Genomic DNA, 26,598 nt, shown 5'->3' with positions numbered 1-26,598 from the left:
TCTCTACTAAAAATACAAAAAAAAACGGGCTCCTGTAATCCCAGCGACTTGGGAGGCCGAGGCAGGAGACTCGCTTGAAACTGGAAGGCAGAGGTTGCAGTGAGCTGAGATTGAGCCACTGCACTCTAGTCTGGGCATTAAGAGCAAAACTCCATCTCAAAAAAAAAAAATAAATAATAATAATAATAAGCAATAATGGAGCCCAGGAGCAGGCAGTGTCCCAGCCCAGCTTATGGAATGGGGGCCCTAGTACCGAGTTTGGAGGACTGGTGATACCAATCACCAACTGCTGTCTTGGAGAAGGGCAGCCCTGGAGCTGGCACCCACAACAACAAACAGGCTTGAGGCACTGAAGTTCCATAAAAATGGATTTATTGCCAAACTTTAAGAAAGGCGCTTCATAAGCAGAAGACACAGAATGCCACCCTCCTCAAGGAGGCAAGCACGGAATGCCACCTTCCTCAAGCACGCAAGCTAGGCAGGCCCTGCACGTTCTCACTCCTCTCCCAGAAGCCAGCTTCCTGCCTAGGGCCCAGCCTGCTAAAGGATGGAAATTAATAGCATTTGGTCACTTGAGGTGGCCCCAGAGCTACTTGCCTACCCACCAGGCCCCAGGGAGAGTGGCTGGGCCTCAACCTGTGACCTACATGCAGGGTCTCTGCACCCACAGACTCTGCCCTCAGTCCAGCTGCTGCAGTTAGCTACTTGACACAGGAGGGAACTGAGGCTCCAATTCCTGGCAGTAGGTGGCTTGGCTAAAGCCCCAGCCAGCCATGGCTGCTGGTGGGGGAAGGCTGTTCCTAAGGCAAGATGGCAGGGGATCACATGACTGGGCAACTGATGTCCTTCTTGCTCTTGTCCTGGGGCAGATGGAGGGAAAGCCAGACTGTGGCATGGGGGCCCAGTTTGCACAAGGAGGCTGATGGGGGCTCCCGAACCAGTGCATTGCTGCTCACCTCTGCTCCGGCCCCACGCAGCCCAGAGAAGACATCTGCCCCTCCTGATCCTTGACTACTACCTCAAGAACAAAGTGACAGTACAATAACGATAACGAAGGCATTGACCTGTGCAGCAGGCCTCAGTGGGGTTGGGGAACAGAGCAGAAAGGCCAGGGCATGTTGCTGTGACCCCCCCCTTTCTCTCTTTCAGTAAACAAAAGTGCACATGCAGAAATCTGGGCAGGTCCTATCGGAAGCTGCTCTCACCCCAGAGGCCCCAGGGAGAGTGGCTGGACCTCGGGAGCCAGGGCCTCTGCACCTACAGGCTCTGCCCTCAGTCCAGCTGCTGCAGCACGATGGAGACTGGATGTGCCCCTAGAGTCAGGGACAATGTGGGGGAGAGGCTGGGAGAGGACCAGGGTGCAGGGATGGACCAGGAAAGGGAAAGAAGAAAATGTCTCTTCTCCTAGAAAGTTACAGGAGAGCAGCCCATCTGGGGCTTGAAGGCGGGGAAGTGGCTTCGGATTCCAACATACCCCTATCAGCATTTGAAGAAATGACTGGGATACTGGACCTGTTTCGGCTGAGAAGGAACCACAGAGATCCAGATAAATCCCCATCTGAGGAGGCACAGAAGTTGGTGGGGATTCTCTTCTGAAGGCTGACATGATCATTACAAGTAAGTTTTTCTAATGTGGACATCAGAGCCACTCTGGGATCCACCTCTTCAGAAATATACAAGGCTGGACACTATCCAGGGGCAGAGACTAGACTAGGGGACCCCTTAAATTCCTCTTCCACTCTTGAATCCTCCAGACCTAAGCCCTCCAATCATAGCTCACTGAGAGGAAGGGGCTGCAGAAAATGTCCTTGTTTTGCAAAAAAGGAAACAGGGCCAAAGAGAGAGAGGCCACACAGCTAATGTCCTCCTCACAAAGAGGCCTCTCATCTCCCTCAAGAGGCTCCAGCTGGGTCCTACGTTCCCCCCAACTGAGGGATGAACCTAGAGCCTGGACCCAAGGCCTCTGCAGCTACTCAGAATAGGTGGGAGGAGGGGCTGGCTTTGAGGCTGCCTTAGCCATGAGGCTCTTTGCCTAGGAATAGCTGGAGATGGGAGCTGCAGGGGGCTCAGCTGTGCTGTATTCAGAAGTCAGGAATGTAAACTACTGGGGATGGGGAACAGAGATGATGTCATTCCCAGAAACCCCAAGTGCCGCCCCCAAAGCCCTGGGGCAGTTTGGAACGACCACACAAACACATAGGTCCCAGCGTGTGTGCTCCCAGCCCCAGCCCCAGCCCAGAGGCCAGGCCAGATAGCCAGGCAGTAGCCCTGGGTGGCACCTGGCACCACTGGCCAGAGCAGAGTAGGAAGGACGCCAGGAGTCTCTTCGGGTCATGGCCAAACCCTGACATGCCCAATGGCCCTCCTGCAGCCATTGCTGTAGAAGCAGAAGCACATTTCTCAGCAGGGCTGGGCCTTGATGGACTTGATGGATGGCCAGAAGGGATGGTGCCTCTGGCCCAGAAGGCCCTAGGGTGCACTTCTCCTGTAGAGGGTCACCAGCTCCTTCCGCTTCTCCCTTAGCCCAGGTGCTTCCTGGCTCAGCTCTCCCAAATCTCTCATTTCCTGCAGGACCTGGGTGGCCTGCCTCAGCTGCTCCACAGCCTGGCTGAGCAATGTTTCGGCACTAACAGGGGCCGGCTCACTGCCCAGCACCTTGTTCAACAGTTTCTCCGTCTGTTCCGAGGCCACCTTCACCTCCAGCTGGGCCCGATATAGCCGTTCCCTGGGCTGCAAGGGATGCCGCGGGCCTTCCCCAAGCAAGTCCCCAAGGGAGGAGCAGCGGGGATGGAACTGAGGTGGCAGGTCCCAGGGGGGCAGTGCTGTGGATGTTGTTGCATCCTTTGGAGGAGTTCCTGGGGTGCCCTCAGCCTGAGAGGGCTTGGCAGGCTCAGGACTGTCATCCATGCCATTCACTGAGACCTGCACTGTGCCTGGAGCAGGTGGCCCAGAAGCCTGCATCTCACCCATGGAGGCTTTCAGTTTCTCTGATAAGATCTTGGGTGGGGGTGTAGGGGGCTTCCCACCCTCCCTGGGGGCAGCCTCAGAAGTCTCAGAACAGGGTGCCTGGGACGGTTCTGCACTCTCTGCAGCAGGGGCCTCCTGGGGGCTGGGGTTCTCCCAGCTCACCTTCAGTTTGTCAGGCAGGACGCTGTTGGGAGGCTGCTCAGAGCCACTGTCCTCCTCTGCTGGGGTCTCTGAGTCCTCTTGGCTCTCAGGGGAGACCTCAGAGCTTGCTGAGACAGGGGTTGGGGCTCTCTCCCCCACAGGGGTCTCCACCCTGTCACCAGGGCTGGTGGTCTCAGGTGCTAGGAAAGGCTTGGTAGGAGGCATGAGGGGCCGGGGTGTCTCCCGAGGTTGGGCTTCACTGACATGATTGCTGGGGGCAAACACTGGTGGCCCACTGTCCGGAACATCAAGATCCAGGCGCAGAAGACCGTCAGAAGCTGCACTGGCCACCTGGTGGGGGGGATGGTATATGGGTGTCATCTTGGCTGACTAGCCATTGGGTCAGGTGTGCCCACTGACACGAGTTCTTACCCTCTCCCATCCAGGTTGTCCAGGCCCCCAGCTCCCCAGCCTCCCTCTGTCCTGGCTTCTGTGGCTACTTAATTAGAAGCTAAAGTGATTTCTTGATGAATCTTCCTCTCCTTTCCCTCACCACCAAAGAATTCCCTGTTTTGGAATCACAGGCCAGGAAAGTCACAGCCAGGGTCCTCTTGGAGCCCCAGGCTGGTTTCTGGGATACTGGACCTGGACTGGACTATACAAGCCTGGGTGGCAGGGGACAGAGTTCCAGCCCTGCATCTAACCCCTACCTAGCTGTATGGCCTTCAGAGGTTCCCTTCTCTGCAACCCACCTACCCATCACCATACCCAGGGTCCCCACAACCAGTTGGTCAGTCAGAGACAGGACCAGGACTCAAACATACTTCTTCCAGTTCATCTCAAGCTCACTGACTTCTGCTTGCCCTTCCTGGAGACCTCTGTTCCGTCTGCCAGCTTCTCTCCAGCTTTTGCCTGTCCAGCTGCTTGGCAGCCTGTGCCCACTCTCCTCATGTCATCAGATGTGGTCCCAGACCACAGCTGACTGCCAGAGAACAGCTGCACCAGAAGGCAGCTACCCACCCCCACCAGGCTCCAGGGACCAATAGGGATATCCAGCAGTCCCACAGTCATGAGACCCTCCCAGAGAGCCTCAGAGGCCCCAGCAGGGCTGGGCAGGAGGCCTTTCCCAAGGTCCCTCAGATGGTGGGGGTCCTGGCTGGGATCCTTACTCTCCCCTGCCACCTTATTTTTCTTAAGAGATGGGGCTGGCTGGGTGCAGTGGCTCACGCCTATAATCCCAGCACTTTGGGAGGCCGAGGCAGGCTGATCACCTGAGGTCGAGAGTTTGAGACCAGCCTGAGCAACATGGAGAAACCCCGTCTCTACTAAAAATACAAAATTAGCCAGGTGTGGTGGCACATGCCTGTAATCCCAGCTACTCGGGAGGCTGAGGCAGGAGAATTGCTTGAACCCTGGAAGCGGAGGTTGCAGTGAGCCGAGATCATGCCATTGCACTCCAGCCTGGGCAACAAGAGCGAAGCTCCGTCTCAAAAAAAAAAAAAGGGGGTCTCGCACTGTCACCCAAGCTGAGTGCAGTGGCATGGTCACAGCTCACTGCAGCCTCCAGAGTAGCTGGGACCACAGGCATGTGCCACGATGCCCATCTCCCTTTGTTGCTCTCACTCCCTTTTATACATACACAGGACCTGGCTGACATCAGGCACTGGGGACCACCAGAAAGTCACCCCTAACACACCACACACACACACACACACACACACACACACACAAACACACACACACACAGCGCCTCCCTGAACTCTTCTGTCAGAGGGCCCCTCCCTCCAAGGCTGGCCCTCCCTACATCCGTCCCCGGCCCCCATCAGGCATTCCTTTTCTCTGTGGCCACCTCAGTGCTCCCTCTGCAGGATCCTATCCCTCAGCTGACAGACAGGCACAGGCTGCTGCAACTCAAAAACAGACCTCCCACGACCTTGGGTCCCTCCCTCCGGCAAACCCAGCCCTGCACCCCGGGACAGCCCTAAATCGACTCCTTTTAGAAAATACGCTGCAAGGCCAGGCGCGGTGGCTCACGCCTGTAATCCCAGCACTTTGGGAGGCCAAAGTGGGCAGATCACGAGGTCTGGAGTTCAAGACCAGCCTGGCCAAGATGGTGAAACCTCGTCTCTACTAAAAATACAAAAATTAGCCGGGGGTGGTGGAGGGTGCCTGTAATCCCAGCTACTCGAGAGGCTGAGGCAGAGAACTTCTTGAACCCGGAAGGCGGAGGTTGCAGTGAGCTGAGATTGCACCCTGCACTCCAGCCTGGGCGACAGAGCGAGACTCAATCTCAAAAAAAAAAAAAAAAAAGAGGTGGGGGGAGAGGGGAGGGATAGCATTAGGAGATATAACTAATGCTAAATGACGAGTTAATGGGTGCAGCACACCAGCATGGCACATGTATACATATGTAACTAACCTGCACATTGTGCACATGTACCCTAAAACTTAAAGTATAATAATAAAAAAAAGAAAAGAAAGAAAAGAAAAAGAAAATATGTTGTAAATGCCTTGTCCTTGGTCCTGCCCTTGTGACTTGCGGCTGCCAACCTGGCTGATGCCCACCAGGTCTTGTGCCCATCTCTCTCCAGATGTGGCACTTGCCTCTGGCTTCCTCTTTCTTGGTTCCCTGCTAGCTGACCTCCCTCCAGTCCCTAAATGTAGCACTTGCTGAGGTTCTTTCCTGGCCTCCAAAATCCTCCCCTGCAGCATTAGCTCCACTGGTCTAAAAGAGTCTCCTCCCTTCCCCCCTCCCCATTGCCCATACCCTCTCCAAATTCCCTGTGCCCAGGGCCTCCATGCTCCCAGTCTCCAGGCTTGGGGAACCTCAGACAACCTTCCCTTGGTCCAATCCCCTGACTCAATCACAAGCCCAGGTGGCTCTTGCTTCCTAACATCCTCCCATCAACCCCTCCCTCTTCATCCCCTCCAGGGGCCTGGAAAGCCGCCTCCCCCACCTCCTTCCTGGCCCCTGCCTTTCCCTCTCTCAACCCAACCCATCCTACCCAGAGCCTCAAACTGACCTCTGAAACGCACTCTCCCTTCCTTGTCTCCAGCTTCTTCACCAAGGCCTCCACAATTTCCTCCCCACAACCCCCTTCTCAGACCCATCTCCCAGGCAAATGGAGCTGCTCCGCATACCTCAAACCCTCCCGCTGTGCCTCAGCTCACAGCACTCCCTCCACAGAGAATCCCCTGACTCCAAGTCCACCAAGTGAACCCCTCCCATCCTTCAAGGGTCAGCTAAAATGCCAGTGGCTCCTTGTGGTCCCTCCTGCCCTGACCTCCTAGAGCCTTCCTTCCTCCGCACAAAAATCAGACACAGCTTTGCATGGAGCAGTCTGTGGGATAGGCCTATTTTTCAGCTGGAAGACGAGCTCTGAGGGGCAGGGACTGGCCTCATGGGCTTCAGTTTCCCTCTGGCACCAACTCTGGCTAAGGACAGATTCAACATTTGTGTGTGGATTGAACAAATGGAAAAGGCTACAGGCTCAAGGACATCCATACCCTGAGCACGTGTAACACAGGTGCCCCATCACTTCCTGTCTACTCCTCAGGAAGCCCCAGCTCCAGGTGTCCTCAGGAAAAATGTGGCCCCAAGCCTGGCTGCCGCCCAGAGGAGCTGAGGTCCTAGGCTCAACTAACCCCAACATCCACACTGGGTAAGGCCCTACCTCCTTCAGGTGGACTCTCGTTGGTGGCCGGCGTCGCTGGCCCCCTCGCACCCGGTCCCGTGTCACATGCTCCAGGGCGCAGCTCTTGTCCACCTTTACCTGGAGGGAGGGGGAACCAGATCAGCCCCTGCCAAGCCTTGGGGAGTGTGGGAAGTAGCCAGGGCGGACCTGGCTCAGAGCCAGGGTCAGTGCCCCACCGCTGCCCTCTCTGGGAATCTCCCTGCCCTGGCCTCTGCTTCTCTAACTCTGCAATGCCCCTGGAGTCTCTTGCAAAGTCTGAGGCTCTCCCTCTCTGCAGCTGCCATTTGCCTCAGTCTTCCTGCCCAAATATGGGCCATCGGCCCTTGCCCCTGAGTATATCACAAATATATAAGCAGCCCTGAGGTGGCTTTGGGGCTTAGCTAGGAGAGAAGGTTGAAAGCAGCCTATGCTCCCCTGGTACCTGGTTTCTGGAAAAGGTCTGCCCTGGCCTCTGCCACCCTCCCAGGACCCCTGGAGAGAGCCCAGAGAGAGAGCAGGGCCTCTGCCCCTTGAGTCTGGGAGCCTGGAGGTCAGCATCTTCTCTCTGAGGGTAACAGAAGGGGTCAGGATTGGCTGGGAAGTCTCAGAGTAAGAGTCACATGGGAGGTCCAGACTCAGAACCCTGGAGCAGCCTGGCCCTATGATGGGGAGTGGGGGCTCAGGCCCACATGTGACTCCAGCTGTCTCTGTCCCTCTGTCCCTCTGTCCCTCAGTGGGCTGAGGCCCAGCCCATGGCTCCTATGGCCTCCCCCAATATCTATGATATGTCCCATCATCCCTCTCCCGTGGAACGGGGACACTTTTCCCCTAGGTAGTGAAGGGCTGAGCATGACATGTAACACAGGACACGACATAGGAGCTATGGGCTGGGAGTCGGGGAACCTGGGTATTAAGAGGGGACTTGCTTGGGAAGATTTGCTCCTTGACATAATCCAAGGCATCACTGTAGGTGGCCCCCAGGTCCATTTTAGCCCAAATAACCAAAGATCCGTGATGTCAAAGACAAATCTTCCTAGGAGATCCTGGCCCCATGGGATGCTCTGCCTGCCCCAAGCCAGATTGTGGCTACTGTTGCCACAGTCCCCAGTACAGCACAGGGGGCTGAGGTCTGCAGGGCTGAATGGTCATTGCAGACAGAGAGGGAGGCCCAGAGCTGAGAGCCAGCCTGCCCTGGACTTCATGGTCAAACTGAAAAGGGAGCTGTCGGCTCACTCTGCAGCACTCTCTGGCCTGGGCCCACCTGCTGCTTCCAGCTGAGGCCAGGCTTAGAAAGGATGCATGCTGCCACCAGTCTAGTTCCAGCCCACCACTTATCTGCTTTCCAGTTTAAGACAAGTTACTTAATTTCCTTAGGCCTCCATTTCATCTGTAAAACAAGGACAGCACCACCTACTATGAGGGGCTGTAGTGAGGACTATAGAAGGTAACAACAATGCCCCATAGCAGTGACATAATCAAGGGGTAGTCTGGGGTAAGGAGGGGCAGGGTCCTCTCCTAGATCACACGCAGTGGGAAAGGAGACACAGAGCTGTCCATGTCCACAGACTGCATCGCACCTCATCGAAAGCCTTGTTTTTGCCTCGGTTAATCCCTTCATTGAGGGCTTTGATCCAGGATTCCTTCTCCTCCCCGGTGGGTGCCTGGAATTTGATGTCGCTGACCTGTGGGCAAGATGGATGGAGTAGATGGCAGATGTTTAACAAAGCTCACATTTGGCATCTTAAGGAGGCTTCCTTACCTAGATCCCAAAGTCAAACCAAAATGACCCCACAGTTAAGTATGACACTGGGGCTTTGGGCCAGGAAAGGGAAAGATCTCACAGAGAAGCCCTCCCCACTGCCCACCAGTATGCAGCTGGGTCTAGATTCGAATCAGCCTGGCCTTGTGGAAAGAGCCCGGATCTGGTCCAGCTCCATGGGACTCCCCCAGGCCAGCTGCCTGGGCTCTGGGCTTCCGTTTACTCTGAAAAGTAGGAATAGCCCCAGTCTACATTCAAACCCACCCCACACCACCCATGAGTCCTTTCCCAATTCAGGTAGGAGCTCTGAGCTCCTGTTAGAATCAGAGGGTGGCTCAGAGAACCCTGACCCTGCCAGGCCCAATGGCCAGACAGGAAATAAGAGGAAGGAGTGAGGTCATGGAAACTGAGGGGCTGCCTCACGCAGTGGACAAGGCAGTAGGGCCTCTGAGCAGGACAGTCCACCACTTACAGGTGTCTGACCTCAGGCCTCAGTTTCTTCAACTGTAAAAGAGAATACCACCAGAACCTGCCTCATGGAGCCATGAAGATCATTTTTAAAATGATGTATCCAATTTGTACACCCATGCTCATAGCATTGTTCACAACAGCCAAAAGGTGGAAGCAACCTCAGTGTCCACTGACAGATGAATGGATAAGCAAAATGTGGTCCATACGTACAATGGATTATCAGCCAGCCTTAAAAAGGAAGAAAAATCTGACACATGCTACAACAGGGATGAACCTTGAAAACATTGTGCTAAGTGAAATAAGCTGGACACAAAAAGACAAAAACTGTACAATTCCACCTATATGAGGTACCTAGAGTTGTCAAAATCATAGAGACAGAGAGGAGAGTGGTGGTTGCCAGGGGCTGGGGAGAGGGGCAATGGGGCATTATTATTTAATGGGCATAGAGTTTTAGTTTTACACGATGGAGAGTTATGTGATGGATGGTGGTGATAGCTGTACAACACCATGAATGTATTTAATGCCGCTGAATTGTGCAATTTCAAACTGGAAAAGATGGTAAATTTTTTTTTACCACAGTTTTTTATTTTTTAATTGAGGGAAAAAAGATATATCTAAAGTACTAAATCTGGAGCTAGGCAGAGTGAATACTCAGTAATAGGAATTAGCACCATTGCCTTCCCTCTGGACAAAACAGTTTGTTTCCTCGTCTGTAAGATGGGATAACACTGCCTACTACCAAGCAATGATGGGGAAATTAAACATGATTAAAAGCAGGGACTGGCACATAGTAGGTGCTCAGTAAATAGTTCTTGAATGAATGAGCCAAAAAATTAATGAACTGGCTCAAGTTTCCTTCCCTCACCATTTTTGGACCACTGCCTACTCTCTGACCTCAAGATGCCCTAGTTCTTTGTTGGCGGTCGCCAGCTTGCCCATCCTCCACCCTGGTGTTAGATAGTACCTCCCCTCCCTCCACTCTCCAGTTATGTAACACCGAGGTCGGCCTGGCCCCCTCAGCATCCTCATTATATAATTTCCTCCTGGCTGCCACTGCCTCCTCCTCATGCAGGGCCCTGGGTCCCACCCCCACCATGCCAGGCACAGCCAAATGCTCATTTGCATGACCAGGGTAAATTTGATCCTGGAAGCAGATCTTCAGTTAAGTCAGAAACCCCAGGGCACCTTGGCAACTGCCTCAGCTCAGCCATCAGGGCTGCTGGGGGCTCAGAGACAGACCACACTGCATCTGGGGTCGCTAAGGCCACCCAACTCTGTGACGGGACCTGCTAGAAAGGGAGTCTGGGGCCAGCCCTTCTACCCAGCTGCTCCTCCTATTCACAGGCTCAGAGCTGGTGTGACCCCTGCATGGTACAGGATTTAGCATCCAGGGAGCTTGAAAAGTGTACAGCTGAACTCAGGAGCCAATGGAACAAGAGGAGGCCAGAGAAGAGCAGGCCTAGAAGTCAGATTACCAAGTTCTACTCGCTTCATTACTCTGGACCTCAAAGGGACAAGAACAGAACCACTGGACCCAGCCCAAACTGCAGCTCCTTCCCCACTGGCCCAGCCCACCTGAAGCAGGCTGCCTCGGCTCTCTTCTGCTCCCTTGTGAGAAGCAGAAATGGCCTCAGAGAAGACCTATTGTGCAAGCCAAAAGGCTCCCACAGGAGAAGGAAGACAAGGTTAAACAGGACCCAGCTCCACCCTCCTAAGGAACCCTGTATCTGGCTGAACGAGCCAGGCATTCCACAAGGATGACCACAATAGAAACAATTAGAATACCAAGAAGTTACCAGCCTGGGCAACATAGTGAGACCCCATCTCTACAAAAAATATGAAAATTAGCCAGGCATGACGGTGTGTGCCTGCAGTCCCGGCTACTCAGAAGCTGAGGTGGGAGGATCACCTGAGCCTAGGAGGCAGAAGTTGCAGCAAGCTGAGATAATGCCACTACACTCCAGCCTGGGTGACAGAGTGAGATCCTGTCTCAAAAAATAAGAATACCAAGAAGCTGTGCCTCTCCCCAAAAACCATCCTGAAGGGCCACAGGCTGTACAGGTCCCTGCCCTGAGAACTTCCAAGAAGCCCCAGGGACATAGGCACTGCTAGGAGCTTAGATGCTAACAGGACTGGCCACAGACTAGGCCCACAAGGCCTGGGAAAAGGTTAAGGACAAAATGGCAGAGAGGAAAAAAGTGGGAGGGGAAGAGAGGAGGCAGGAAAGAGGAAAGGGCCAAGCTGGCTGAGACCAGCAGGGCAGCAAGGCCCAGCAGTGGCCACCCTGCTTCCTGGCAGCGTCTGCCTGTGACCTCATGGGCAGGGGTGTGGGGCTGGAGAAGCAGGGGGAGAGGGGCATGTAAGACATTGGAGTCTTTGTTTATTTGATTAGAGGGGAAAAAAGGCGGCCTCAGGACCAGACAGCCAGGGTCATGTGACCTCCTGGCCGGCTGGAGGCCTCACTGAGGACGGGGAACACCCAGGCTGCTGAGAAAGGAGGGTGAGAGGATGTGGGAATGTGGTGCCCTGGGCCAGGTCCACCAACTGACCTCTGGAGAGCCCCAATCTGTGTGAGCTCCTGGGGTGGGGAGGGTCAGGGACCCTTGAGCTGGAACCAGGATGCACTGTTTCATCCGCAGCACCCACCACTTGCTCCACAGCCCCATCTCCTGTTCTCAGAGCCAGCCTAAATTCTTGTCCTGTTCTCAGAGCCAGCCTAAATTCTTGCAGGGTTGGGGGCTGGTAGGGAGGGTGTTGGCTGAAGCAGCTGAGAACACAGCTGCACAAACAGGCTTCTCTGAAGGTGATGTCCCACCCTGAGCTGAGCCAAGCCCACCTAGTCTATCACCAGCTGATTCTCAGAGCTGGGGAAGAGATGGCCCACAGAACAGCACAGGCAGAGGCCAGAGAGGCTAGGTCCCCCTCCACCCCACATCCACATAGCATACTAAGACACACACCCAGACAGACACACGGCCAGGTGAGCACTCACCTGCATTAAAAAAAGATACACACATAAGGGCCAGACACACAGGTGGCAGATCTTCACACAGAACATACTTTGCATCTCATCTCTCTCAAACACACATCCACATATACAGTGCCCACTCAGGAAGGAAGTGGGTCTCCAGGACAGGGTAGGGGCTCCAGGCCTTGAAAAGATTAAAATGTGACTCTTTTTGTCCTCAAAGAGCCCTAAGCAGCAGATGTCAAGTGAAACCTGGGCCCAGTCCCATGAGCCCTCATAACACTATAATTATACCAGCCGCTACCCTGGGATACACTTCCAGCTCCCTAGTATCACAGCTCCACAGCCCCCTCCACTGCTATCTTGGTTGCTTCTGCGCCCCCACCCCCTGCACAGTAGGACAAAGGGTCAATGAGTAAAGCATTGTGGTCTTCAGGGTCTGCAGAGGACTGGGCTCCTATCCCCTAAAGCTGGGGGAGAAACAGAATGGCCTCCAGCAGGCCCAGACCAGACTTGCTCCCCAACTCCCAGCCTCTGTGACTCAGCCCTATTCTGCGAGGCTCCACATGACATGCAGAGGACAAGGCAAGGAATGGCCCAGCCGCAGATGGGTGCAAGCTGGCGAGAGGTGCTGTGCATGCCAGCCTCAAATCTGAACTCGCTCCTGACATCTGTGAAGCTACACCATGTGTCAACACCCACCAGACTCCCCGCCAGAGAAATGTGGTGCAAACAGCAAACTTCATCTGTACACACAGCATGTCCCAGGGAAAGACTCTCTCAAGCCAGGGACCTTCCCCAGCTACAGCCAAGAAAGGAAAGTGCAAGGGGAGGAAAGCTGGGGGGCTGCAGGCCTCCTAGTCCTTAGTCCAGGGTGGGCCCACCCACAAAGGCCTGGGATGAAGGGAGGCCACACACTCCCCCTCTGCCCCAGGCTGCATCACGGTGTTGAGGCCTGGCAGGGTGGAGGCCTCAACCACAGCTCTCCTGCCTCAGCCCTGGGCCTCCCCCAGGGTCTGGGGTACAGCCAAGTGCCCCACCTCCCAAAGGCTACTTTCCAACTACAGCCTGGGATGGAGGCCCTGGGCCTGCAAGAGGAAAAGGGGAGCAGAGGTCTCTCAACAGAGCCCTAAGTGCATCTCTTATCAACTAGGGGCTTGGAAGATTCCGAGACAAAATGAGCAAAGGTCTGACCTATGGTGGCTGCTAGGGCTGAGCCTCAGCCACACGCAACGGAAAACAGGCTTTTTCAAGGGGCCAGGCCTGCCTTAAACCTGCTTAGGCCTCCCAAGCTGACTCTGGGCTAGAGGGAGATGGGGCAGCAGCAGGCATCGCCCTACCTTGTTCCCTGGGGATCGCAGCAGGATAAAGCGGTGTTTTCGCTTGAGGAGGGCACGAAGGTCCTGGCACTTCTCATAGCTGCCCAGCTCCACAGTCTCCACACACTTCTGATCATCCTGGGGAGGGAGACAGAAGGGACATGAGCTGGTGACAGTCAGACCCACCACCACCCTCAACTACTCATGTCCCAGACCCTGATCCCACTCAGCGAGGACATCACTTGGTTAGAGGGAGGACCTCAGGCTGCCAATCAGTCACCAAGATGTGGTGTCCAGACCCTGGCAAGTGCATGCTGGCTGGAGGGATGCCCACAAGGCTCCCCATCCAGATGGGAGATGGGCACATAGCCCAGAGGCGCGTATGTGCCTAAGGCCAGAGGAGGAAACAGAGGGGAAGCTAGAGAGGATAAGAAAAGGCTGTCTGGGGTCCAGCCATGCCCAGAGGCCAGGCAGAGATCTGTGGAAGAGAAAGCCAGAAGAAGAATGCAGGATGCCACAAAATGGCAGGCAGGGAGTGGGATGGGGACGGGGGACAACGACTTTCCAGGAAGAGCCAGAGGGAAGTGTGAACAAGGCAAATTTGGGGCTACATGCCCTGCCTTCAGCACAGCCATCCTGAATTGTGCTCCTCACTCAGCATCACCCCCTGCGGAGCCCTGGCTTGGGAGAGCAGCACCTCATCCAAGGCTGCAGGCTACATACAAGCAACAGGCAAGGGCTCCTTGAAGCGCATCCCATCCCCACCCCACCACTCGGAGGCCTCATCATTAGGAGGGCCAGTGGCCAGAACAGTGCCCAGCCTCTTCCCGGCCATCTCTGGACACCAGCCAGACTGTCTTCCTGCCCACCACTCCTGACATTTGAGTGTTTTCTCCACAGGCTCCACCCATCAGGTGCCTGTCCAGCAAGCTGCCTGGGAAAAGCTCCTCCCTCAGTGGTGGTCAACTGGTCCTCTTCCAGGGAAGACCCAACTGGAACAACTTCCTGGGTGTGGCACTCTGTCATCCAGGAGAGTCCAGGGAAGCAGAAGCAGATCCTTTGGTGGGGGAGGGTACACCACCCTGGGACGGGCCAAAAAGTTAAGGAAACCCTTGCTGATGTTTAACAGAAGAAATCTGACACTTAGTGAGCACTTCTGCATCCCTGAGTCTCTGAACCTCACAATAACCCTGAAAGCCTGCAGCCCCATATCTGCCTCATTTTAGAAGGAAAGAATGAGGCCTGGAGGTGAAGGGATTTGCCCTAGGCACACAGACCCAAATATAAGGGGCAGGGCCCCAACTCAAACCACAGCCTCTGACTCCCAGGCCAGGGCCCTTTCCAGCACAGCACACTCCTTCCAGTCACAGGCAGTAGGTTGCTCTGCACGAGGGGTCCTCCAAGGTTGGGACCTAGGCCAGCAGCATTCGCACCACCTGAGAGCTTGTTAGAAATGCAAACTCCCGGCTGGGTGCGGTGGCTCACACCTGTAATCCCAGCACTTTGGGAGGCCGAGGCGGGCAGATCACGAGTTCAGGAGATCGAGACCATACTGGCCAACACAGTGAAACCCCATCTCTACTAAAAAAAATACAAAAAAAAATTAGCCGGGCAGTTAGCCGGGCGTGGTGGCGGGCACCTGTAGTCCCAGCTACTTGGGAGGCTGAGGCAGAAGAATGGCGTGAACCCAGGAGGCGGAGCTTGCAGTGAGCCAAGATCGCTCCACTGCACTCCAGCCTGGGCAACAGAGCGAGACTCTGTCTCAAAAAAAAAAAAAAAGAAAAAGAAAAAGAAATGCAAACCCCCAGGCCTCATCCCCACTCAATCATTACACCTAAGAGGGTGGGCCTGGCAATCTGCGTTCTAACTAGCCCCCAGGGATTTTGATGGATGCGAATTTTTTTTGTTTTTTGTTTTTTTGAGACAGAGTCTCACTCTGTCGCTCAGGCTGGAGTGCAGTGGCATGATATCGGCTCACTGCAACCTCTGCCTCCTGGGTACCTGCGATTCTCCGGCCTCAGCCCCCCGAGTAGCTGGGATTACAGGTGCCTACCACCACGCCCGGCTAATTTTTGTAGAGACATGGTTTCACCATGTTGGCCAGGCTGGTCTCGAACTCTTGACCTCAAGTGATCCACCTGCCTCAGCCTCCCAAAGAGTTGGGATTACAAGCATGAGCCACCAAGCCTGGCCTGGATGCGAACAGTTAAGAACCACTGCTACCAGCCTGGCCAACATAATGAAACCCTGTCTCTACTAAAAATACAAAAATTAGCTGGGCATGGTGGCATGAGCCTGTGGTCCCAGCTACTCAGGAGGCTGAGGCAGAAGAATCGCTTGAACCCAGGAGGCGGAGGCTGCAGAGAGCCGAGATAGCACCACTGCACTCCAGCCTGGGTGACAGAGGGCGACTCCTTCTCAAAAAAAAAAAGAACCACTGCTCTACACCAGAGGTTCTCAGCCTTGGTGGCACCTGGGAGCTTTTAAAAACCCCAATGCCCAGGCGACATCCCAGACCAATTATACCACAATCTCTTGGGGTGCAAGGCCCAGACCTCAGGATATTTTAAAGCAGATGACTGTATATCTAATGTGGATAACTACTAATCGACTCTCTCGTCAGCCCCTCAGAGAAAGGGGAAGAGATGGCCAAGGTGGCCTTATCTCTCCCAACCAGGTTAAATCAAGTATCTTTTCTCATTTTTGCTTCCATCCATACATCCCTTTCCAATCTCTAGCCTCCAGTACCTTCCAGATTCCTCAACTAAACAGACGGACCAGAAAAATCCTCTTGCTCTGAGAAACTCCCCTGCCCCCAACCATGAACCCCTGAACTTGAGTGCTCTCCATCCCATCATTTACTGCCAGGGGGATGCAAACATCTACAAAACACCTGCAAGATGCAGACACCCTATGAGGTGCTAGGAGCCGAGTCCTGCCATGGGAAAACACAGTCCTGACTCCCTGCTTGGCCATCTTTCTCTACCCCATTCTCTGTGTATCTATCTGCTTATCCTTCTGTTCCCCCAACTGCACCCTACAAGCAGCAGCCCTCAAGCAGAACATATGTAGGACCAGTTTTCTGAGTGCCTTATCCAGATTGAGAACTCAGGAAGTCTCCTCCTCCCCGGGAATCTGGAGCAGGGAAACTGCCCGGGGAAGAATCCTTGCTTGAGAGAGAGCAGCTTACTTGCCCCGTGTCCACAGGCCTCCACTAACTGGACCGCCACTGGCCCGAATACACCCTCCTCTGCCTGGGAACAAAAAGTCCATCCACCTCTACCATTAAGCTCCCAATAGCTGCCTGTCCTGGGTCTCCTCTCCACCCCACCCCAAGACGCTGAATCATCCCAGCTCTTCTGCAGCTCAGAAAAACGGATAAACCAGTAGGCAATGGGTGAGGGAAGCATCTTTGGAATGTCAGCCTCTCTGACAGCAAAGAAACAGCCAAGAGCCATTCGCATTCGCCTAGTTCCTTACATCAGAAAGAGGAATTGAGCTAATAAGCATTTCTCAATTCCTACTCCAGGGCCAAGCTCCCCCACCCCTAAGTGTTAAGTTCCTGAAATTGCATTTACATTTTTAATAGCAATCTTTTTCAAACAAGGGGAAAAAAGCATGATTTAGATTTTTCATGTTTGGGAGATGTGAAATCCTTCCTGCTTCCCAGCTGTGGCCAGATGCAGAGAGGCAGTTTAGGACAAGTCTGACAGTACCTGACAGGCTGACAGCTGAAGCCTGTTACTTAAATCTCATGGCAGCTGGCACTGGAAGAAGCTGTGACAACCCCCTTTATTGGAAAAAAGGTCCCCCTGCTGCCTCATTCTCAACTGTGGCACATCCTATTTTGGTGGGAGCAGCAGTAGAGAACATCTGGGGGTGCTGTCTACGCACCCTCATTCCCTTGCCCTCTTCCCACTGCTTCTCTGACACCCAAACAAACTCCACGAGCCAGCAACTCAGGTAGGTCAGACAAGGTGTTTCTCCGAGGCAGCTCCTTTAAACACTTTGGATCCAGGTTGCCTAATCTTTCTTGTCCTGGGACAACTGTGAATTTGCCAAGATAGCCTGAGGCAGGCTGGGAGAGGTGGATGAGGAAGAGGCAGGCTCCCCCTTCTGCCCCCAGGCCAATTCTTCCCCAGGTATTTCATTTGTCAAAGGCATATATTGCTACCCTGTTTTCAGTGGATGGGCCCTCCGATAGCCTCAACCACAGCACACAAATAGCATCTACAAGTAAAAACCACTTTTCTTCCTCAAGTCTTCACCTACATCTTAATTGACTCTTAGTTAACACGCAAGCTTAGCATCCTTGGTTGTCCAAATCCCAAGCCTGCTGAAATCAGAAGGGGAACAAGCATCTGAAGTGGGAAGAAGTGAGGGCTATTCGAGGCACAAGGACAGCAGAAGTTGCAACCAGCAGCTTGATGTTAAAGGAGAAAGAAAAGATGAGAAGTACAGCCTCCTGCCAGTTCAAAACAGAGAGGCAATCTGCCTCTTTACCCCTGTGCATCTAGAGAACCCACTCTGCAGGTGGGTCTGACAGGTGATGACACTGAGCCACCAGGGAAAGATTTTATTTAGGCCAGAATCTTCTGTTGAAGAAAGCGGAGAATATTTAACATATTTTAGAGATTTTCTAACAAAAATAAGTTTTGGAGTTTACTTGCTGGCGTCTCTTGGTAGAAAGCACGCTGGACTTGCTTCTAGACCTAACTCCTCCATTCACTGGGAGATGCTGAACAGTCATCTTGTCACCCTGAGCCTCAGTATCCTCTTCTGTAAAAATCTAACATGAAGACCACTCTCATGGGACTATTGCAATTTGTCATAGGGAGATATGTAAGAGCATATCTCCAAACAAGTACGAGTGCTACTTATTATTTTTTTGTTTTTTTGAGATGGAGTTTCACTCTTGTTGTCCAGGCTGGAGTGCAATGGCATGATCTCGGCTCACTGCAACCTCCACCTCCCAGGTTCAAGTGATTCTCCTGCCTCAGCCTCCTGAGTAGCTGGCATTACGGACATGCACCACTACACCCGGCTAATTTTGTATTTTTAGTAGAGATGGGGTTTCTCCACGTTGGTCAGGCTGGTCTAGAACTCCTGACCTCAGGTGATCCGCCTGCCTCGGCCTCCCAAAGTGCTGAGATTATAGGTGTAAGCCACTACAACCCGGCCTGCTAATTATTATTTCTACTACCACTGCTGAATGGAGCAGGCTTCAGTTTTCCATAACATTCACTCATATGGAACCTTGCCCAGGGACAGGAAAAGACTTGCACACTAGATGCACATACAGTTCAAAGAACTCTCCGCTGGGCACGCAGGCTCACGCCTGTAATCCCAGCACTTTGGGAGGCGGAGGTGGGTGGATCACCTGAGGTCAGGAGTTCGAGACCAGCCTGGCCAACAGGGTGAAACCCTGTCTCTACTAAAAATACAAAATTAGCCGGGTGTGGTAGCTGACGCATGTGATCCCAGCTACTTGGGAGGCTGAGGCAGGAGAATTGTTTGAACCTGGGAGGCGGCAGTTGCAGTGAGCTGAGATCGTGCCATTGCACTCCAGCCTGGGCAACAAGAGCGAAACTCCATCTCAAAAAAAAAAAAGAGGGCCAGGCGTGGTGGCTCACACCTATAATCCCAGCACTTTGGGAGGCCAAGGTGGGTGGATCACGAGGTCAAGAGATTGAGACTCTCCTGGCCAACTTGGTGAAACCCTGTCTCTACTAAAATACAAAAAATTAGTTGGGCATGGTGGTGCATGCCTGTAATCCCAGCTACTCCAGAGGCTGAGGCAGGAGAATTGCTTGAACCAGGACCCAGGAGATGGAGGTTGCAGTAAGCTGAGATCGCACCACTGCACTCCAGCCTGGGCTACAGAGCGAGACTCTTTCTCAAAAACAAAAAATAGCTGGGCATGGTGGCATGCATGCCTATAGTCCCAGCTACTCAGGAGGCTAAGACAGAGGAATTGCTTTGCTTGAACCAGGCGGCGGAGGTTGCAGTGATCCGAGATCTCGCCACTGCACTCCAGCCTGGTGACAGAGCAAGACTCCATCACCAAAAAAAAAAGAATTAAGTTTAAAAAAATAAGAAAAGAACTCTCATCTAGAAACCCTAGATTTGTCCTCGGAGGTATTATCCCCATATACAGAGACCCAAGAGAGGATTAGGTACTCGCTCAAGGTTGCACAGCATGGCAAAAGTAGAGCAGGTCTTCTGGCCCCAGACCCAGGGTCCTCCTACTAACTTGAATGCCCTCACTTTGCCCCTGTCCCAGAACCCCCAATCTCAGGGCCAAGCAGGTCCTCACCTCATTCTCATAGACCAGCAGCTGGGCCTGGCAGAGGAGCAGATATCGGTCTTTCCAGAAACCCAGGAGGCCCCCACTGCTCTTCTTGATCCAGCCAGCCTTGTCCACCATCTGTGCTCCCCGAGGCTTCTCACCGGCTTCCTTCACACCCTGTAACACAGCACCAGTTCATACCATGAGGGTTGCTACCATGGGGTCACAGGTCACAGGTTCATAGGTCACACAAGGGATGTGTCCCTAGGCTAAGTACCTAATGACATCATAATATGTGAGCTTCCCCACAACCCCCAAGGCAGATATTCCTAACCCAGGATCAGAGCTAATAACAACAATAATAGCAGCAGCCACTTTACTCTGAGCCACTGTATAACATTTGATACACATAGTGTCATTTCACTCTTACAACTCCCCTCCAAGATGGTAGCCTCATTATCCACATGTCATAGCAAACTAAAGCTCAGAATGGAGGATGACTCGACAGAGTGGCAAACCACTGCTAGAGGACAGAGCCAGAATTCAAAGCAGGTCTCTCTGACCCCACGTTTTTCCCACTCCACCATTCTGCTTCCATGTGTTCATTCAATCAGTCAACAAATGTACTGAGTGCTTACAACATCACAGGAGAATAAAAGTAAGGCAGTCTCTGTCCTCAGAGCTCACAGTGCGGGAAAATAGGAGCTGAACAAATAAATACCCAGGCATACCCATCAACCTGTGTGAAATGCTATACAGGAAACACACAAAGGGCAGCGAGAGGACAGTGGGGGACCCAGTTCAGGTTGGGGTGGCCCAGGAAGGCCACCCAGAACAAAGACTGGAAGGACAGGCAGGCTGAGTGGCAATCTGCCTCTCTACCGCTATGCTTCTAGAGAACCCACTCTGCAGCCCCTTCCGCTTCCCACCCAAAGCAGGAGGCTCCTCTCCCCTCCTCCCCACTCCAGGCAAGGACCTTAGGGTGGCCACCACATCTGGTGAGGGTTCCAAGGACTCTGTCTTTGACCACAGGCTGGCACAGGAGTTAAATTCAAGCCCTTCTCTTGGACTTGGGTAGACACCCTGGAGCCTTGGGGCCAGCTACTGACATCTTGTGCCTCATTGATTGCCTGCTTGGGTGGCTGGGTGCCAGATACATGCCTACCAAATAAGGTTGGGGTCAGATCCACTTCTGGGTCCCCAGCACCCAGCCCTGTTCTTTTACACATAATGGGTGCTCAAGAGGTACGCGTGAAATGAAAATAAAAATACACACCCTTTGCTAACCACTTTGCTTCACTGATAGGTACCCAGAGTCGTGAGTGTGAAGTGGGGGGTGAAGGAGAGGGGATCAAGAATGTGTCAGAATCTAGAGGCTGCTAGAAGGAAATTAGCATGGACTAATTTTGACTACGTTATAATTTACATAAAATTCAAAAAAGGGGCCCCAGTTAAAAGAGGTGTGCCTCTCCCCAGGGATATCCTGTGGCCACAGCTGCCTTTGGAAGAACAAGCCCAGACAGATGTAAGCGTGGTGCACTGTCAGGAGCTGGGAAGACCTGGCTTCCCTGGTCTCTGTCATGGCAGGGGAACCCCAGCCTGGTTCTCACTGTGGGCCCCCACCCCCTTTTGAACTGCGCATTCTAGTGGTGGGGAATCTGGGCTTAGAAGCTGCAGTCATGCAGACTGAAGCAAACCACTTAACCTCTCTGAGCCTCAGTTTCTTCATCTGTGAAATGCAGCTACTAACAGCAGAAGTTGTAAGGAATCCAACTCCACGAGGGCAGGATTTTTGTTTTGTTCACTCCTGTACCCTCAGTTCCTAGACAGTGACTGGCACATAGTAAGTGTTCAATAAACATTTGTTGCTGAGTAAAGACAAAGCATATAGAGCAGTTCCCAGGATGCCCTAAACCTAGTAAACGGCAGCTGTCATTATTGTTACTATTGTCACTGCCATCCTCTCTGGCTCTCAGGGACCCTCTCCCTGGGCCCAGTTCCCAAGTCAGGACAAGCCCTTTCTGGTCTATAGCTGCTGGCCTCAGATCTCCAGGAGCTCCAGGAATGTGGGGTCCCACCTTGGGGTCTCTCCCTAACTTGTAGATGGCAAGAGAAATGGGGAAGTGGGGTGGTCCAAATGATCTTCCCAGGGTCTTCTTCTACAGGCATGGTGGGTCATGCCTGTAATCCCAGCACTTTGGGCCGAGATGGGCAGATCATTTGAGGTCAGGAGTTTGAGATCGGCCTGGCCAACATGGGGAAACCCCAACTCTACTAAAAATACAAAAAATAGCCGGGCGGTGGTGGCGCACGCCTGTAATCCCAGCTACTCAGGAGGCTGAGGCAGGAGAATCCCTTGAGCCAGGAAGGCGGAGGTTGTGGTGAGCCGAGATTGCACCACTGGACTCTTGTATGGTTAACAGGATGAGGCCCTGTCTCCGAAAAAAAAAAAAGGTCTTCCCAGATATAGGAACAAGGAAGTAGAAGGCTGGCCGATTATGAGCCACCCTGTCCAGGAGAAGAGGGATTTCAGCACCCTTTGACAAGAAGGGAAAGGCTCTCCCATTCCATCATGCACTCAACTCCCATTCCCCACATCACCACTGACACCCCCAGGGCCCTAACACTACTTCAGCGAGCCCTGCAGGCTGTCATAGGCCCAGGGCTAGAAGGGAAGAACAGGGAAATGGGAAACCCCACCCCCACATTTCACACTGACAACCCTCCTACTGCAACGGCAACAGCAAGGACAGCACCACCAGCCCCTGCCAGGCCTTCCACCTGATGGGCAGACTCTTGGTTTCTCTTAAACAAGGCAGTGAGGTCTGTGGAGTGTGAAGCTGTTGCCCAGCCACCCACCTCTGAGCTCCAAGCTCGCCTCTTGCTTTCAGGGGACCCACCCACCACCCCAAGGGATCTCACACCCCTTTCTAAACTCTCTCCACTCATGACCTCTCCTGAAAACTTTCTACCCTCTGGAAGCTCCCTAGGGCCACAGCTGGAACTTGTGCCTAGATCACTGTCACTTCTGGGCTGATGTAGCCTAGAGAATACTGTGACTGGATTACCTACAGAAACAAGTCCAGGTCCTTGAAGAATGAATGGGACCAGGGCAGGACTAGGCGAAACAGCACTTTGGTATGGAGAAGGGGACAACTGAAGGGCTACAGATGGTGTGAACCACAGCCCAGCCACAGAAACAGCCACCCAGGGGAGGACTGGCTGGAGGCCAGAGTCCTAGTTGCCTCCACCCAGCCCCCTTCCCTGCCCCTCAGACCCCCTCCCTCCAGGGGGGCCTGGCTATGCCCCAGTAAGTTTTAATAAGGGGCCCCTCCCCTTGGCAGGGTTCACAGGGGAGGTTTTGTCCTGCTCAGCCCAGTTTCTCGGCCTCCTCTCCTCACTGAGCAGCTGACCGCTGTTCTTCCTGTTTTGCCCTCTCCCCTCCCATCCCTCCTCACCCAGGCCCTTTCCTGCCCACTGTGAGCAGCTCCTGAGGCACCCCTAGGCACCAGCCTGCCTCCCTTGGATCACTCATTAAAAAAAAAAAAAAAAAAAGAAGCCAGGTCACCTCAACTCTGTACACAGAAGGGGACAGATGGAACCACAACACAGGTTACGAGAGACAGAGACTAGAAGAAACTTGGTTGGCACCTCACATCCCAGGAAGCTTATGACAACCTTTGCTCTTTGACAAAACCCAGTGATGTTCTGACCCAACTCTACTAAGAATCCACCGTGTCAGAGTCCTGTGCCGGGGCATTGAGAGAGAGGAAGCACAGGCTCTGCCCCAGGGCAACCTTCAGTCTGAGGTGGGTAACAGAGACGCTGTATAAGATAAGTCCCCTGTCTGGTGGGGAGCGGGTAATCTCCTGCTTGAGAGGCTCCAGCCTATTGGCAGAGACATAGCACTTAACCAGAGGGATGCACCGGTCCTAGCTCTCTGATGAGATAAGGGCTTGGGGTTCGTTTGGGAGACCCCTGCAGAAGGTAGGGTTTGGGGAGGGCTCTGAGCAGGGGAAGAGACACACGCCTTGGTCCAGAGAAGGCAAGGCACAAAAGGTTATCAAAGCCCCTGCCCCCTCAACCCCTTTACTATAGAAAGAGAAAGTACAGCCCAGAAAGGGCAAGAGATTACTCCGTGGGACAGAAACAGTACTGGGACAGGACACTGCCCTGCTTGTCTCTAGATGGTGAGGGCAAGTGGAGAGCCTAGAAGCCAGGGAAAGGCATGACTGCTGGCAGAGGACAGAGCCCCAGAGTACAGAAGGGAAAGCCTAGGTCCAGGATTTCCACCCTTACTCCAATGGCAGCAATAATACCCCCACTGATATTCGCAGTTTTCTCAGCTTTTGAATATACATCATCACATTGCTCGATCACCCACCCTTTTCCTTTTACAAAGGAGGAACCGAGGCCAGGAGCACACAGGTGGGCAGATGCCCAGTGCCCAGACCAGCATCTCCTCCCCAAGCCTCAGCCTGACAAGAGCTACCAGCCTGCCCGTTGCATAGAGGAGGTCACTGAGGCTGAGGGACCTTGGCCCAGGGTGGCCGGGCACAGGGAGGAAGCTGAAAGCTAGCAGGAGGGCTGAAAGCAGCCATGTGAAAGAGATGATGAAGATGGCCTGGGATCATGGGGCAGAGCATGTGGCTATGACCTAAGAGGTGTTTTAGAGAAACAAAGATGGGCACTGAGGCCTAGTGCAACAAGCGGAAGCTACTGGGAGAAGTGGGAGGAAAGCAGAGTTAGGGATGCCAAAGGGGAGTAGGGAAAGGAAGCCCCTGCTGTGGGGGTGAGGCTTGCAGGGGCTTGGGTAAAGTGGACAAGAACTTAGATGGCCCAGATATTTAGAGAGCTTTGGGCATCTAGGAGTCAGAAAGTGGCAATATAGGCTGGGTGCAATAGCTCATGCCTGTAACCCCAACACTTTCGGAGGCCGAGGCAGGCGGATCACCTGAGGTCAGGAGTTCGAGACCAGCCTGACCAACATGGAGAAACCCCATGTCTACTAAAAATACAAAATTAGCCAGGCGTGGTGGTGCATGCCTGTAATCCCAGCTATTCAGGAGGCTGAGGCAGGAGAATTGCTTGAACCCAGGAGGTGGCGGTTGCGGTGAGCCAATATCTCGCCACTGCACTCCAGCCTGGGCAACAAGAGCGAAACTCCGTCTCAAAAAAAAAAAAAAAGAAAAGAAAGTGACAATGTGAGAGATTCAGGACCAAGGGTGTACAGAGCTGAGCCGGGCCCAGGAGGTGTCCGGAGAACTTCCCTTAATCAGGGGCCAGCGCAGATCAGGAGATGGAGTAATCCTGACCCACATCCTCTGGGAGCAGGGGAGGGGCCCTGGCCAGAGAGCCCAGCCCTTGCAGCAGGGGCCTGGGGCAGGCAGATGGCAGCCCCACCTAACAGCCAGAAAGAAACCGCAGCAAATCACAGAGGCCTGACTTTGCCCCCTACCTTCACCCACTGAGAGAACCGGCCACTGTCAGGCCAGGAGTATGAGGAGGACAGGCACTATATTTTGTAGAAGAGGAAATGAAGGCTGAGAGGGGAAGTGACTTATCTACCATCCCACAGAAAGGCAGGGCCTGGCCTAGAGGGAGCCCTGACGGACCACTAGCTGCTCCTATCCATGGCCCTGGAAAAGTGGGAGGTGGGCACTGAAGGGACACAGGCAGTCCGGTCCACTCAGGGCTTCCCAGCTGGCCAGGGTTCCCCCAAGGCAGAGAACTTCATCTTTCCTCCCCATCCAAGGAGGCAAAGACATGCCCCTTCCCTTGGGCTGAGAGGGGCTGAAGCTGGGACCCCCTCAGGGGATAAGAAACAAATTCACCTTCCTCTAGACCCAACAGGCCCCTCATTTTAACTTAATCATTCCACAGGCATATATTAAGTGCTTGCTGCGTGCTGGACCCTCGGATAAAGCGGCTGCTGGCAGAACTGAGTTTGCAAGTAAAGGGCAGGGGCAGGGGCAAGACCCAATCCCAGGCCAAGAGTGTTTTGAGTGGTTAGAAGGAGGCTCCAGGGACACAGTTGGTCCAGCCCTCGGGTGGGGAAGGCAGGGACTAAGATCAGACCCTAGGTGGGCCGGACTCCCGATTCCTTCCCTACAGCTAGCTGCTCAGATGGATGTGGAGCGGGGAGAGAGTGGGGGAAAAGATACAGAGACTTATACAAGGGAGAAAAAAGCAACTTCTCCAATCCTCCTGCCACCAAAGCATGGTCACATCCTTGAGACAGGAACCCCCCAACACACACATACACACACACACAGAGTCAGGATCCGATCCTTGAGACAGGAACCCCCCAACACACACATACACACACACACACAGTCAGGATCCGACACACACACACACACACACACACACACACACAGAGAGAGAGAGAGAGTCAGGATCCGACCACGGTAATCGGGGTTCGAGCCCAGTCACCCAGGCCACTTTCAGCAAGTCATCAATCTCGCTGGAGTCTCAGTCTCCTGGTCAATCCAATGGGAACGGTAACAACCACGACGCCCCACAACTGGTGAGAAAGTCAGCGAGAATGAAGGAGGACGCGGTCTGCGAAGTCCCCGATATGGATCCAGCCCCTCGCCCCTGCCCCATTTGCCCAGGCTCTTCCTGAGGTGAGACTGGCGGGAGTGGGGCGGGCAGGAACGAGGGCCTGAGCCCAGGACCGCAATCCCCGTGAGGGGCTCGAGGACCCCAGCCCAACGCCCCGCCGGGCCCCGCCCTCACCTCCTCCTCCATGGCGAGTCCGCCGAGGTCCCGCCGCTCCGCCACTCGCTTCCAGCGCCGCGCGGGCTCTGCCACCGCGTCTACGCCCGGCCAGGCGGCGACTCTCCGCGTTCTGTCCCGCCGGCTGCCGGGGGCCCAAGAAACTTCGGGGGGGCGGGGCCGGGGGCGGGGTGAGGCTTCCGGGGGCCGGGGCGGGGCCGGGGAGGGGGCGGTGGGGCCGGGGGCCCGGCCCAGGGCGGGAAATGGGTGGGGAGGGGCGGGGCCTGGGT

The 26,598-nt window shown here is 54.0% G+C and overlaps 1 protein-coding gene across 2 annotated transcripts, besides 14 other annotated features; it reads right to left on the bottom strand.

Moving 5' to 3' along the window:
* Positions 1-355: 355 nt before the first annotated feature.
* On the bottom strand, positions 356-26,443 carry PLEKHO2 (pleckstrin homology domain containing O2). Of its 2 annotated transcripts, NM_025201.5 has the most exons (6): positions 26,330-26,443; positions 19,616-19,765; positions 13,321-13,437; positions 8,360-8,464; positions 6,783-6,881; positions 356-3,459 (listed from the first exon to the last, which is right to left on the bottom strand). In NM_025201.5, the coding sequence occupies exons 1-6, from the start codon at positions 26,339-26,341 to the stop codon at positions 2,470-2,472; spliced, it is 1,473 nt and encodes a 490-aa protein (NP_079477.2). In that variant the 5' UTR covers positions 26,342-26,443; the 3' UTR covers positions 356-2,469. The 2 variants fall into 2 exon arrangements, with proteins under 2 accessions (NP_079477.2, NP_001181988.1); NM_001195059.2 differs by lacking the exon at positions 19,616-19,765.
* Positions 801-1,480: an enhancer, noted in NCBI's record as "H3K27ac-H3K4me1 hESC enhancer chr15:65159077-65159756 (GRCh37/hg19 assembly coordinates)". NCBI's record gives its function as "activates a minimal SCP1, AML or CMV promoter by ChIP-STARR-seq in primed H9 embryonic stem cells {active_cell/tissue: H9 hESC(primed)}" and the evidence as "EXISTENCE:reporter gene assay evidence [ECO:0000049][PMID:30033119]".
* Positions 2,934-2,983: an enhancer, noted in NCBI's record as "active region_9582". NCBI's record gives its function as "activates an Ori minimal core promoter by ATAC-STARR-seq in GM12878 lymphoblastoid cells {active_cell/tissue: GM12878}" and the evidence as "EXISTENCE:reporter gene assay evidence [ECO:0000049][PMID:35858748]".
* Positions 13,950-14,518: an enhancer, noted in NCBI's record as "H3K27ac-H3K4me1 hESC enhancer chr15:65146039-65146607 (GRCh37/hg19 assembly coordinates)". NCBI's record gives its function as "activates a minimal SCP1, AML or CMV promoter by ChIP-STARR-seq in primed H9 embryonic stem cells {active_cell/tissue: H9 hESC(primed)}" and the evidence as "EXISTENCE:reporter gene assay evidence [ECO:0000049][PMID:30033119]".
* Positions 15,936-16,882: an enhancer, noted in NCBI's record as "H3K27ac-H3K4me1 hESC enhancer chr15:65143675-65144621 (GRCh37/hg19 assembly coordinates)". NCBI's record gives its function as "activates a minimal SCP1, AML or CMV promoter by ChIP-STARR-seq in naive H9 embryonic stem cells {active_cell/tissue: H9 hESC(naive)}" and the evidence as "EXISTENCE:reporter gene assay evidence [ECO:0000049][PMID:30033119]".
* Positions 21,237-21,795: an enhancer, noted in NCBI's record as "H3K27ac hESC enhancer chr15:65138762-65139320 (GRCh37/hg19 assembly coordinates)". NCBI's record gives its function as "activates a minimal SCP1, AML or CMV promoter by ChIP-STARR-seq in primed H9 embryonic stem cells {active_cell/tissue: H9 hESC(primed)}" and the evidence as "EXISTENCE:reporter gene assay evidence [ECO:0000049][PMID:30033119]".
* Positions 21,796-22,355: an enhancer, noted in NCBI's record as "H3K27ac-H3K4me1 hESC enhancer chr15:65138202-65138761 (GRCh37/hg19 assembly coordinates)". NCBI's record gives its function as "activates a minimal SCP1, AML or CMV promoter by ChIP-STARR-seq in primed H9 embryonic stem cells {active_cell/tissue: H9 hESC(primed)}" and the evidence as "EXISTENCE:reporter gene assay evidence [ECO:0000049][PMID:30033119]".
* Positions 21,796-22,377: a biological region, named in NCBI's record as "H3K27ac-H3K4me1 hESC enhancer GRCh37_chr15:65138202-65138761".
* Positions 22,328-22,377: a silencer, noted in NCBI's record as "silent region_6542". NCBI's record gives its function as "represses an Ori minimal core promoter by ATAC-STARR-seq in GM12878 lymphoblastoid cells {active_cell/tissue: GM12878}" and the evidence as "EXISTENCE:reporter gene assay evidence [ECO:0000049][PMID:35858748]".
* Positions 23,608-23,717: an enhancer, noted in NCBI's record as "active region_9581". NCBI's record gives its function as "activates an Ori minimal core promoter by ATAC-STARR-seq in GM12878 lymphoblastoid cells {active_cell/tissue: GM12878}" and the evidence as "EXISTENCE:reporter gene assay evidence [ECO:0000049][PMID:35858748]".
* Positions 23,828-24,187: an enhancer, noted in NCBI's record as "active region_9580". NCBI's record gives its function as "activates an Ori minimal core promoter by ATAC-STARR-seq in GM12878 lymphoblastoid cells {active_cell/tissue: GM12878}" and the evidence as "EXISTENCE:reporter gene assay evidence [ECO:0000049][PMID:35858748]".
* Positions 25,236-25,787: an enhancer, noted in NCBI's record as "H3K27ac-H3K4me1 hESC enhancer chr15:65134770-65135321 (GRCh37/hg19 assembly coordinates)". NCBI's record gives its function as "activates a minimal SCP1, AML or CMV promoter by ChIP-STARR-seq in primed H9 embryonic stem cells {active_cell/tissue: H9 hESC(primed)}" and the evidence as "EXISTENCE:reporter gene assay evidence [ECO:0000049][PMID:30033119]".
* Positions 25,820-26,343: an enhancer, noted in NCBI's record as "H3K27ac hESC enhancer chr15:65134214-65134737 (GRCh37/hg19 assembly coordinates)". NCBI's record gives its function as "activates a minimal SCP1, AML or CMV promoter by ChIP-STARR-seq in naive H9 embryonic stem cells {active_cell/tissue: H9 hESC(naive)}" and the evidence as "EXISTENCE:reporter gene assay evidence [ECO:0000049][PMID:30033119]".
* Positions 25,820-26,590: a biological region, named in NCBI's record as "H3K27ac hESC enhancer GRCh37_chr15:65134214-65134737".
* Positions 26,151-26,590: a silencer, noted in NCBI's record as "silent region_6541". NCBI's record gives its function as "represses an Ori minimal core promoter by ATAC-STARR-seq in GM12878 lymphoblastoid cells {active_cell/tissue: GM12878}" and the evidence as "EXISTENCE:reporter gene assay evidence [ECO:0000049][PMID:35858748]".

Source organism: Homo sapiens, chromosome 15, assembly GCF_000001405.40.
Source record: "Homo sapiens chromosome 15, GRCh38.p14 Primary Assembly".
Classification (NCBI taxonomy): domain Eukaryota; kingdom Metazoa; phylum Chordata; class Mammalia; order Primates; family Hominidae; genus Homo; species Homo sapiens.
The sequence above is the reverse complement of the archived record's forward strand: the minus strand, read 5'-3'. Positions and strand labels throughout refer to the sequence as shown.